Source organism: Homo sapiens, chromosome 9, assembly GCF_000001405.40.
Source record: "Homo sapiens chromosome 9, GRCh38.p14 Primary Assembly".
NCBI classification, from domain to species: domain Eukaryota; kingdom Metazoa; phylum Chordata; class Mammalia; order Primates; family Hominidae; genus Homo; species Homo sapiens.
The window spans coordinates 123,775,076-123,788,653 of record NC_000009.12 but is presented as its reverse complement, the minus strand read 5'-3'; the positions used below and the strand labels follow the sequence as shown (position 1 = coordinate 123,788,653).

At 38.3% G+C, this 13,578-nt stretch overlaps 1 protein-coding gene across 41 annotated transcripts in view, besides 1 other annotated feature; it reads left to right on the top strand.

Annotated features, from left to right (window-relative positions):
• The window catches only part of DENND1A (DENN domain containing 1A), a 550,469-nt gene that overhangs the window by 141,473 nt on the left and 395,418 nt on the right, over nt 1-13,578 (top strand). The gene's annotated exons all lie outside the window — the stretch shown is intronic.
• Nucleotides 11,004-13,215: an enhancer, noted in NCBI's record as "VISTA enhancer hs314". NCBI's record gives its function as "enhancer in: midbrain (mesencephalon)[6/8]" and the evidence as "EXISTENCE:transgenic organism evidence [ECO:0001131][PMID:17130149]".

The following is a 13,578-nucleotide window of genomic DNA, read 5'->3' as shown; positions in this document are numbered from 1 at the left end:
TCAAATATATCATGTCAATCAGACATTAAAAGTAAGAAAAAAATGAATAGCTTTCCCTGCTGAAAATAGTCTTGTAGTTAATTAAGTGGGTTTATAATTATTCTATTATGTTTACTGTGTTCATTCATAGTTATGGAAATAATTGGTAAAACTTTACTTATTGTGATTAGTTCAGTTTTAATGAATACTAATTGAATTAAAGGAGAAAAGAATGGTTAAATTAACATGTTAGCAAATTATGGTCACCACTCTCATCAAAATCCCATCTTTGGTCTCAAAACATTATATGATTTTTTCAGATTAAAAAACATGAGCCTTTATTAATTACAATATTTAGTATGGGATGGTTTGAAATTAAGAGATAATAACCTATCGGAGAGATTTCCATAAATAGTCTTGTAATGTGTCAAGTATAATAGGTATTACACATACCGTTTTGAAATGTATTAGTTATAATATGATTACTTCTTATACGAAAACACGTAGAATTAATAATTTGTCCTCACAATTGTACTTTCATAGCCTGTTTTTTCTAAGAGTGGCAATTAGAGTTGAGTGTGCTAAAAGTTGCTTCTCCAGTGTGCTCATCCACACTTTGATGGAATACAGTGAGCCTCTTAGAGCCCTTTAAAGAGTGGTCCAGGCACAGTTACCTACCCCTGTATATGTAGATTGCTGTTTAGAGTTGCAGGTAATTTTTCTTTCCACTGGCACTGAAACAGAGTGTTATAATGAAACCAACAATCTTTATGCGTTTATAGAAACTATAACAATTTTATGGAAATCTTTATATAGAAACTAACAGTGTTTCTTGTACAAGCTCTATAAGCAATGTAGAAACATGGCACATTGGGAAAAATTAAAAGGTGCCCTTTCTCTTAAGGTTTTATATTGCCTATGTGATTTCAAAATTTCACTATAGGCAGTTAAACAAATTATAAAAACATATACCAACTATATACTAAAAAGGAACAAAAATATGTTGCATAACTCAGGCTAATTGTGATGGAAATTGGCATTTCTGAGTTGCATGTAATTGCTTAAATATGGAGTTTTCATCTGTTCATGCTTGAGGTATGCTCCATGCAAAACATTTCTTAAGCTTATAGTTATTCACAATATAACCAATGTAAATCAGCTGGAAGATTCTGATTAGAGAGACGGTAGAGATAATATTTAAACAAGACTTGCAACTTGTATGTTGAAGATTGCCTTGTTCTTTTGGTGAGAGCTCCTGTGTATGAAAACTTTCATGTTACTTTCTTCAAAATTTTGATAAGCCAGAGATAAAACATTTCTATTGTAAAACTTACTCATGCCCTGATTCATTGAAAGAATACTATTTCATAAGAAAATTATAGATATAATCTAGTTCCTAAATTTTTGTTACTATGAAAAGAAGCCACATTATACCAACATTGTATGACACAAATGTATAATATTTACAGGAAGTATAAAACAAATGATAAATTTTGATTTTTTTTGCATCATTATTAGGCAGAGAAACATAAGAAGCAGTGTGGTGTATAAAATGTGACTTTGATTCCACAAAGGTTCTGCCAGTCTTTCGACAGTGGCTTGTTTAAACCATGGGTCTTCACATTGGAATTGAGATTTTGGGTTTGTGGTCCTTGGGGCCTTGTATTCACCAAGCTCACAAAGAATGGAATTGAACTTGGGTGTATCCCATTTCTCTTGGAAACTTTTGAGCTTTCTTGTTTTTTTTTTAATTCTTTTCCAAAGTGGGTGTTGTCATGCTTCCAGTACTCGCAGGTTCTCTTCAAACTAGATCCACTTTAAATGGTGAGGTCACCTTTGATCTTGGAAACTTTTTATAGCACTATATACCATGGAACAGAATTTGTAAATTCATTTGACTCTCATCCAAAGGACTTATATAAGGGTCAAATGGATCACATTTTAAAATGGTTCTATAATCTGGTCTTAAAAAGAGCAACTTATGGTTACAAGTGATGATATGTTCTGATTCTTTTTTCATCATATCTGTGTTTGGCAGCAGAAACAGTCTAGGAGACTAGGTCTGATTTTGTATATTAATTGAGAGATTGCTGAGTGTACTATCTGCAGACTTTGAGCCAGACAACGTAGCAGGTAAAGAGGAGGAGAGAAGTAGATTCCGTCTCTCCCTTGAAGGAACTTACTGCCTAGTAGGCTATAGAGTAATGCATGTCTAGGATGTTTTGTGGAATAATGGCATGGCCACAACACTTGAAAGTGGGAATGTCTCTGAAAACTAGAACCCTTGGGTGGTGCTGCCATGATCACATTCCTGCAATTTCTTGTTCTCTGTCACATGAAGCCGTAGAAGTTAGTAGAGTTAAGTGGTATAGAGAAGCAAGTGGAAAGTCTTGGAGCTGCCCTTAAAGGTCACCTTTTAGGTTGTTTTAGATATGTGCATTTCTTTCTTTCTTTTTTTTTTTTGAGACAGTCTTGCTCTGTTGCCTAGACTGGAGTACAATGGCACAATCTCAGATCACTGCCAACCTCCACCTCCTAGGTTCAAGCAATTCTTATGTCTCAGCCTCCCGAGTAGCTGGAATTACAAGTGTGTGCCAACATACTCTGCTAATTTTTGTGTTTTTAGTAGAGATGGGGTTTCATCATGTTGACCAGGCTGGTCTCCATCTCCTGACCTCAGGTGATCCTCACACCTTGGCCTCCTGAAGTGCTAAGATTTCAGGTGTAAGCCGCAGTGCCTGGCCAGATGTGTGCTTTTCTAAGAGTCACTGTTGATTCTTGGGTTTTTCAACCTCTTGCCCAAAAGGCTCACTTTCCGTATTTCTTAGTAACTTGGCAGTCTGGAAACGTAGGTGGAAATGTAATTTTTTCATCTGCAGGTATAAACTCTCAATCTCTTTAGACTATTCGGCCTAAGAGCTGATTGTTAGCATGATAGCCACAGGGTGCTCTGCTGAAGCGGGTTTCTTGAAGTGGATATCAGTATTTGTGAATGCCACCAAATGTAGCTGTTCTGAAGGACTGCATTACAGATTTCTAAGGTTCATTGATAGATTACAGATGTAGAAATACATCCCAGCTTAAATATCTGCTTCTTTTGTATATGTTTAAAAGTGTCCCATTGTTGACAATTAGCTAGTTTAAATGTTTTCTAAGTATAGGTTCATAGATAGGTAAAAAAAAATAGTCTATCACAGGTTGCCTCTTATTTTTCCCCGTGTTGTTACTAGTAAAATATATCACCTTGGACAAATGTCAAGGTGCTTTTTAAAGTGTTTGCTGAAGAAAAAACACTTTTTTGTTTGGTTTTGTGTTTTAGAGTTGGGGTCTCATCTCAGTCTGTCACCCAGGCTGGAGTGCAGTGGTGCAATCATAGCTCACTGTATCCTCAAACATCTGGACTGGTCTCAGGCAATTCTCCTACCTCAGCCTCCCGAGTAGCTGGGACTTCGGGGTGTGTACCACCATGCTGCCTAATTTAAAAAAAAAATCTTTTTTTAGAGACGGGGGTCTTACTATGTTGCCCAGGATGACCTTCAACTCCTGGCCTCAAGCAATCCTCTTCCCTCAGCCTCCCAAAGTGCTGGGATTCCATGCTCAGCCTCAGAAAAACTACTTTGTATATAAGAGGTACTATTCAGTAATGTCCATATGCTGAGTTTTTGTCCATTTCCAGAGAAGGGTGAATTTAAGAATGGGATGGGGTTGAACTGACATCTTAACGAAAGTATATTTCAACCTTAAACATTTAGCCAAACTCAATTGAAAAATTGAGACATTTTCTGACTTAAGGCTCTTCTTTTAAGTTGAAGATTTCTTCCCAATTTGGTCACTCCCCAGCTGTTACAGTTATGTAGAAGGAACTCATTAAAAAGACAAATTCTTTTTGAGCCATTCTTTCTGAAAGCACGCCAAGCTATACAGCTATGTTGTACTACTACTTATTTGAATCTGACTCCAGGAAATGGTAATTATGCAATCCTTACTTACACATTCTTATGAGAATGTTCTCTTGGGTTTATTCTGGATCCCAAAAAGCCCCACTAAATTTTTGTCTGTTGAGTACTATTGGATGGTCTTGTTTCTAGTAAGTTATGCTATGATTAAAACTAAATGGACCAAGTCTGCTTTTGAGAGAGGCAGTCTCTGTTTTCTCTTAGCCTCATAGAATCAGTCCCGGTTGCTCCTTGGACACACCTACAAGTCCTGTTCATTATTTTTCCTAAACTGCTCTCTAGTCTGTCCTATTCTTCTGTTTCCCTCTGCATTCACACTCAAAGCTTCTCTCACATGGACTCTTCCTAATGGTCTACAAGCCAGTGACGCTACAATCACCACCCTCTCTAAGATGGCCGGAGATGACTTTCTAAAACCTAAATCAAATCACATAACTTCTCTTTAGTCAAAACTCTTGATGGTTCCCTGGTACCTTAAAGATCAACTCCAAATCTCTTAACTTGGATTTAAGGCTGGTCACAGTCTGACTTTGACCCAGCCTCTAGTCTTGTCTCCTGCCGCCTCCCCTTACAGCCCAGACATAGGATGCCTCATCATTTCCCAGCTTGCTTGGCTTTTCCTCTCCTGTATATTTTTTGTCCAAACTGGCTTTTGGTTGAAATATTTTTCTCCTTGCTGTCCTGCAACTCCTACCTCAGTATACTTCTGTTTATACACCTTGTCTCACCTTCTCTGTGAAACTTGCCCTGATGAAATTAGTCACTTCAGCCTTAGCTTTTAGGCAGCAATGGGAGGATCCACGCCTATGTCGTCTTGCTTGTATATCTGTGTCTTCATCAATCTGTGAACGCTTCAAATGTAGAAATGGCTATGGCCAATGTTACAGACCCCTTTGAGCAGCTAGGACAGATTGGGGGCTCAGTGAACAACATGAGGTATGTGATACACAGATGTAATTGCTCAAGAGTTAAGATTCCAGAAAGAGTGCAGAGGAATGATTGTGGTGATTAAGAGCTTGGACTTTGGAGTGAGACTGCTAGGGTCTGAATCCTGGCTCTGCCATTTACAGGGGTTTACCACTTGGGGATTTGATTTCCTCATCTAGAAAGTAGAGATAGTCATAGTAACTACCTTGTAGGATAGCTATGAGGGTGTCATGATTTAAAATGTGTGAAGTGCTTAGAATAACACCTGACACCAAATCATAACCAATAATTATGTCGTGTCTCCTATTACTGGGCATAGATTTAAGTAAGGCAGCAAAGTAACCTGGTTTTGGTGCCTTTGTCAGGTGTTAGGGTTGTGTATGATAACCTTTGCCTCTAGAATTTCAGACTGATCCAGGAAGGATTCTGGAAATGCCTCCCTTTCTAAACCCACACTGTTTCAGAACAAAATTTAGAGAAGTCACAAAGGTAAAAGTGAATATTTTGTCAAGTAAGGATGAAGAGACATAATCAGAAACAATTCCTGAATATTTATGTTCTAAAATGTACTGAAAATATAAAAACCCTTTAAATGGTGATGAAGGGGTTTCAGATAATTACTTTTTATTTATTTTATTCCAGTTGTGAAATCTATATGTTGAGATTCCCATGTTCAAAACTTCAGAAATTTAGTAATGGGACCACTGTCCTTGTAAATGAGCCCTTTTGGTTGTGTGTAGTATTTTGTATTACTGCGGTAGCTTTCATTTTTCAAATATTTATATACAGTACAGTAAAGATTCCTCTGACTATTATAATTTTCAACTGTGTAACTTCAGTCAGTTTCAGATTTCAGAAGTGGTATAACATGAAGCCCAGACTGTGGGCCTGAATATATGTATGTATGTGTATGTGAGCGGGGGGAGCTGGGGGTTGGTAGGTAGAAATGAAAAGGTGTTTGTAAAATGAGAATCTCTTAAAATTGATTTATCAAAGATTATTTACATAAATTGTGTGATATAATGTTGTTTCACAGTGCTTTTATCCCTGGAATATTCTTATCTAGGTTGTTTGTCTAGAAGATACTAATTGGTTTTTCAAAAGTTAGTTCAAATGCCACCTCCTTTGAGGAATCTTTTACATCCCCCAGGTAGATTTCTATCAGAAAACCTAAACCACTTTATACTTGTTTACCTGTCCTCTCCCTTTCCCAGGCAGGAAGTCAGAGATTCTTGCCGGCTTCGTGTCCAGATCTCTAGGACCTGGTAACTAACTGTGCATGGCTGTTAGGAGGCCAAGTATTTAATATATAATAAGTGACTGAATAGTCTTCACACTGTAATCTTTGGGCTCAGAATTTAAGCTAGGTAGGACAAACCAAGACATACCTTTATTAAATCCCATTTTACCTAGAGAGGCTTAACCAGATGTGTTTATGATTCTCATATTTGAGTGTATATCAGACATGATGCCTCTTTGTGTAGTATCTAGTTTTAGCGGTATAACTTGTAAAGCGTTGAGAACATTTTTTATCAGAGCACTCTTCCAACCTGCCAGATACTTATCATTTCTGGAGATCTAAACCCCTGGCAAATTGAGAAATAGCTTTCAGATTTAATGGCAGCTAGAAATACTTTTTATTATTCATGTATTATTTATGTCTTAAGAAATATCCCCTACCCCTTAAAATATTACATTTTTATTTTTATTATTATTTTTTTTTAGACAGAGTCTTACCCAGTCACCCAGGCTAATGTACAGTGGTGTGATCTTGGCTCACTGCAACCTCTGTCTCCCAGGTTCAAGCGATTCTTCTTCCTCATCCTCCTGAGTAGCTGGGACTACAGGCATGTGTCACCACGCCTGGCTAATTTTTGAATTTTTAGTAGAGACAGGGTTTTGCCATGTTGCCCAGACAGGTCTTGAACTCCTGACCTCAGGTGATCCACCCACCTTGGCCTCCCAAAGTGCTGGGATTATAGGCATGAGTCACCGTGCTCGGCCTTTTTTTAAATAAAATGTTTAACTCAAAGAAAAGTTAGGAGGCAAATATCCCCATGTTATATGAGATTTGACTTTTGATATGACACTTTGGGCAAAGACTACATTTTTTGGCTTCATCTTTTTCATCTGTAAAATGAAAAAGTATTAATAATACTAACTTTGTAGAATTGGCAGGAAAAGTAGCCATAATGTTTACATAATACCTGAATTCATCTAGTTTAATAAATGTTTTCTGATGTAGTATGAGGAAGAAGAAGTTTGATGCTTCTGTGTAATTGATGATGTCTGATATTGTATCTACATCCCAGAATGTAGACAAGTCCTTCCTGTAGATAAAGAGCCTGAAGTCCAGTGATAAAACCTCACTATTTTAGCACCACTCTCCAGTTTCTCATCACAAGGCAGATGAAACAACTGTTTATTATTTTATTGCCCTCCAGACAAGCCATGGTTTCCCCTCTAAGATTCTGGTGGCCATAGCATCCAATCCAGGATACTTTTGAGACTGAAAGGGAGCACTGTGACTACACAGAAATCGTGGGCATAACTGGGATGTCCTGGGCAAACTGGCAGGTGAGGTTACCCTACCCTAAGGCCCTTCAACAGAACAGCACAAACATTTCACTCTATTCCTGCAAGTTGGAAGTGAGGTTGGAGAAAGGCTTTATCTGCATTCAACATGGAGGGCTAGTACTGCACAAAATCTTAGCTGTGTGAATGCCTGTGACCCTGGAGACAGAATGCTAATCAAGATTCTCAATCTCCATCCTTTAGTAGAGAGGTAGGCAAGTTACTTCACCAGTCTACCTGAAACTAATTTAACTTAGTTTTCAAGGTGCATTCCATCGATAGGAGGATAATATCTGCATAAAATTAGTGGTAGGATCACTGGGTATGTAACACTTCTAGCAAGACCTGACACATAGTAGTTGCTTTATCAGTCCCTTTCCACTTGTTACTTAACCCCCTCACCCACAGCCGCCCCAAGAAAAGATAACCATTGGTAGATGAGGAACCAAATAAAGTCTAAATAGGTTAGTTCCACAATCAGAAGAAACTCCTATAGGTCAATTTAGATACTTTATATATATAATTCATGTTATTAGGCAAAAATGGTAAACCTTTGACAAAAATGTGATATTACATTTATACAAACTTTAATAGTCTTCCCCATTCCTTTCATTTTCAATGTCAAGAATAAATATTTAAAGTTTGATTCTCTGATCAATTCAAGTCTGTGCTTTGGCCCATGTGGTCTCACTGCTTCCTATGAGGATTAAACAAGGAGGCATGTAGACTTTAGCACAGTGCATGGCAATAGTAAGTGCTCAGTCAATGCTATTTCTTCCCTTCTTAATCCGATCTATCATCCAATCATTTTTTTCAGCACCATCATTCACTGGATGTTTCCTCTGTGCCAGATACTCTGGGGAACACTGGTAATGAGTGTAACCCCCATCATTCTTAACTCATTCTAGAGATAATGGTCAATTTGATGATAGGAATTATAGACACAGGACAGGATTCTGGGGTGTCAACTTGGGAGAGGCGAGAAGCTCACTGAGAATAGCCTCTAAGTCCTCCTGGGGTCCGGAACATGTGGGGTGGACGGAGGGTTAGAAAGTCTTGTGCAAGACTGGGCATGGTGGCTCACGCCTGTAATCCCAGTACTTTGGGACGCTGAGGCAGGCAGATCACTTGACGTCAGGAGTTCGAGACTAGCCTGGCCAACATGGCGAAACCCTGTCTCTACTAAAAATACAAAAATTAGCTGGCGTGGTGGGGGGGCGCCTGTAATCCCAGCTACTCAGGAGGCTGAGCAGGAAAATCGGTTGAACCCTGGGTTGCAGTGAGCCGAGATCTCGCCACTGCACTCCAGCCTGGGTGACAGAGCGAGACTCCGTCTCAAAAAAAAGTCTCATGCAAGTGGAATGTGAAAGGATCTAATCCATGATCTGGCCCCTGCCACCCTGTCTAGTCTCCTCTGTTCCAGAATACCAGGCTGCTTTTCAGTTCCTTGAATGTGCCAAGGAGCAGAAGTGGGTGAATCGCTTGAGTTCAGGAGTTCTAGGTCAGCCTGAGCAACATGGCAAAACCCCACCTCTACCAAAAATACAAAAATTAGCCAAGCGTGGTAGTCCGCGCCTATGGTCTCAGGTACTCAGGAGGCTGAGGTGAGAGGACTGCTTGAGCCCAGGAGGCAGAGATTGCAGTGAGCCAAGATTGCACCACTTCCCTCCAGCATGGGCAACACAGTGAGACCCTGTTTTGTTTTGTATTTTACAAAACAGAACAAAAAAGAATAGGAACCCGGAGCTGGAGAGGTAGTTCAGAAGTGAACACTTGAATTTGAGAGTCATTTACCTTGTGCTGTTAATTGAAACTAAGGTATAGGTAAACTGCTAATAGAGGAGGACGCAGAGAGAGAAGGAGAAAGATAAAGTCCTGGAAAGGAGTTGAGAAGGGGCCCAGAAATAGAGCAGTGAGAGAGGCAGGAGGAGGCCCTTCTGTAGTCTTCATCTAATGGAACGTCATTGGACAAGCAATGTGTTTTGAGTGAGTGGGGAGTAGAGCACCAGAAAAGGCTTTCTGCTCTTTCAATATTGCTTTAAAAATATTCTAAGCCAAACAAACCCCAAATTGAAGAGCTCTCCATTATCCATAGAGCATGAATTCATTTATCTGTCAAGAAAACCCATGGACCTTACCTATAGAAATGAACTATATTGATCTAAGAATTGTCTCTATGAAGAGTCCATGCCACAAAACAGTTGTGAGTTTTGGATGGTGGAAACATGTTTTATTTTTAATTATTTATACTTTAAACATTTTTTTAAAAATAGCATATTTGTATGCGGTAGGCATTTGGTCATTTGGCAACAATCACATTTGAATCGTTGAATTACCAGAGAACCAACATGACTGGCATTGGCATTTTACCTTTTAGGATTTCTGAATTTGGGTTTTTGGGTGTTGGTGAGTTTGTTTGGGTTATGCGGTGTGGCCAGGCTCCTTAACACTCTAGATCGGGTTTGGCAGACTATAGCCTGAAGCCAGCTGGTCACATCCTGCCCGGGGCTGGATTTTGTATGGCCTATGAGGTAAGAAGGTTTTTTACCCTTGTTAAGGATTGTTAAAAAAACAAACAAGAACATGTGACAGAGACCATAAGTGGCCCGCAAAGCCTAAAATATTTACAATCTGGCCCTTTTGAGAAAAGTTTGCCGGCTCCTTCCTTAGGTTATAAGTTACACATGAAAGGAATCCAAAATTTCATAGGATAAGCTCAAACTGATGACTTCAATTCCAGAATGTCTTAACACTTTGAAAGAGTGACTTACCTGTTGAATCAGGAGAACACATTTTTGGTGGTGAAATGAAGACTTGATCGAAAGACTGCCTTGTATGATTTGACAGTACAGTCAGATGGTAAAAGAACTTCTGTACTGTATGATGTTTCAGAATAGTTCTGTAAAGTGTCTGAATGTACTCTGGTACCACTGTTGTGTTTAATTTGTCCGAGGCAGCCTCAGGTAAACACTAGAATCTGTTGCAGCAAGATATGCAAAGTAAAATGAAATATGTATGTGAGATTGTATTATTTTATTGTATTTTGCTGGACTTCTGAAGGGACTTTTTTTTCTACTTGCAAAAAATTAAAACCCTTGAGTGTTAGATGTTAGAAAACTTTTTGAATTATATAATTTCTTTATTTCAGTAGTGTTTCATATCACCTCCTTCTGTCTTTGTAATGAAATGTCATCAATCTGTTCTGAGCATAATTTTTTTCAGTTCTGAATCCTCCTTATCCTCCTTATATCTTCCTATTCTTTCTATCAGAATCTGCAAGTTGTAGGAAATAAAAGTTGATTTGAAACAGTTCTGTAACACTAAACAGATGACTGTTTAGTGAGACGTTCTAATCAATTGCTAAATAATTCTCTCTCAAAAGCAGATTTGATATTTACATTTTGATTTTCATATTCTGCTCACAGTGTTTGTTGACGGTGGCTAACATTCCCTGCCACTGGATAAATAAAGCCTATTATTTCCTTTTCAACATTTTAGGCTATTATTCTCATACAAGAGCTAATAAGCAGAAGGTTAGGTATATTACCAAACTATGATCCTGTCTATCAGAAGAAACCAGGAACCTTGATTAATATGCCTTGTTAACTGATGATTTCAGTTCCATATTGGTAGTGCTAGAATAATTTGTATAAACCAAGCAGTACAGATTCCTTATTTTAGCACTAAGACTTACAAAAGCTTCTTTTAGCAGCCTTTAATTTTGTACTTATGTATGTGACATAGCCTGTGGCTGTGATAGCTACTGTGAAGCTGCAGTTGTTTTGGGATGAAAGGAAGAGGCAGCTGGAAACTCGGTAGCTACATCTAGCTGTCTACCTAGAGAAGGCCTTGATTTCAAGTTTATCTAAACAAGCTCGACTAATCCCAACTATCTAGGGGGATCCACTGTCAAAACAAGCAGCGTGGCCCTGAGGCAAACACAGCTATACAGAAATGAAGGCTGGGGCTTCCAATACTCCAATGACTGCATACTGGAGGCCTTTTTCCCCCCTGAAAGAGGGTAAGAGAGGTAGAATTTGCATAATGCCTTTTCATTGGAAACTTTTGGAAAGCTGACAGACCTTCAGCTTATAGATCTGTAGCCACAATACAGAGTCTATAGGAGAATCCTTGAATGACCTAACCATATTGAAAGAAAATATAAAAGCGTCCAAGTATAGCCAAGTGAGAGAGGAAAAGAGGCTGATGCATTGTCTAACATCTGCTGTACTTCTCGTTAGTTTTGTTCTTTGCTATTCTGTGTGGACTTTGGAGAAGCCTAAGACAGCCTAACATGAATCCTATAATCTTCCTTCTGAATATTTATGTAGCGTGCCAGCTTCTAAGCTGTCCTTTGCGTTTTCCTACTTCCCCCTCATTTTCATGCTCTCAAATGAGGCCAACATTTCAAAAGCTAAATAAATGTTTGTGAATGTTTATAAAAGATTTGCATAAATTTGTCCTTGTCTGACAAAGATCACTTTTTTCTTATGCCAGTTCTGAAAAAAAATTTTTTTAAGGTTTTGGTGCTTGTCTTGACAACAGAGTCCTGCATCCCAGAACAATGATTGCTGATTAAGTGGGTATGCAATTGTGACTGAATAGGCTTTCAAGATTCTGAGTAAAAAGACCTATCATCTGAAGGCTGAATTATAGAATTTAGAAAATGTTATCAGAAGTACACATTTGAATCTATTTTTTGGTACCATATCATTAGGTAAGACAAAGCATTCTTACAAGTTAAAAGTATAGCCACCCATGATTTAAAAAATTATCCTGTATAAATTTTAATAATTAGAATGTTTCAATAACTCAGTATATCACTTTTCTTCCCTATGTTTGAACATATTTAAAAATAATTTTTAGACCTTTAGGTACTTTTTGGAAACTGTAACTCTACCAGTTGTATGCGTTAATACGGTTACTGGGGTGGTGATCAGAGGGAATTTACCAGGCAGTCCTTTAAGATATCTGAATGCTCAATCATACCTTGAGAAAATATAAACTACATGAAGTATGTGTTAGGGCTTAATTATAGGACACACATACACAGCGCCCAGACACTTATGCCACCGACGGGTGTTTGCTGAATTCATTTATCTTTTACAATTAGAATGGATTTTGTGGGGTGGCAGGGGAAGTTGTGGGTAGAGGTGCTAATTTAGTTCAGAGATATTTGAAGATTGGCAGGAGAGAGAGGTAACAGCCAGTTCTGTTAGTCCTTTGGTTGTATTGGTTTAGAGGTTTAAGTTGTCATTAAGGCACAAACTAGAGCCACTTCTCTGACACAGTTTTTATCACATCTGCTAGGCTTGTGTCCCAAGAGGAGACGTGGAGAGCAGCGAATTCAGCATGGGCCCATTATCGACTGCTTTTTCGTGTGTTGTAAAAGGAGTGAGACCTCAGGGAGGCTTGGAGCCTCCTCCCGTGTAATGTCCAAGTCAGATTTGAAGGACTGGTGGCAGGAAAGCTTTGGCCTTGGGGTGTGAATTCTAAGAAATAGAGGCACAATTAAGTTTAAAAAATTCAAGGACTTTGAGCTTGATAATGAAAGATTTTTCTCTAGACTAATGTGAGCAGAAAAGTTGCCCATCTGTGCACATTTTTGTGTGCATTTAAAATATTTAAAAGCTGACAGCTTTTAATATGCTTACAAAATAGTATTTCTATCAGTGCTCTTTTTTTTTTCCCCTTTTCTTTTAAAATAGTATCTTCCTAAGGGCAAGTTGCCTCTTCAATGAAATCATGTTTGCAGTTTTACTGTTGGGACCCCTATTCCTTTGGTATGTTCTGACTTGTGTCCCCTCCTCCCCCCTTCCTTTCAGAAATATTGATAACATAAATGTGCAGATAACAGGAATTTAAATGCTTAAGGAAATGAGCAAGAGAAACTATTTTAGAGTAATCATATTAAGTCCAAGGAATTACCACTGAATTCTGATTAGCCACTGAATGCTAATTGTAAGAGATCATAACCAAATCATTTGTTCATCTTGGAAGTACAGTATTTGAAGCATGTGTGAAGAATTTTATTGGCATTTCATGCTGACCTTATAAATATAGCTCTCATTTTCAACCACTTTGTGTAAGATTTAAAATTAATAAAAGGAATCTTGGAATAGAGGATGTTATATAATATCAT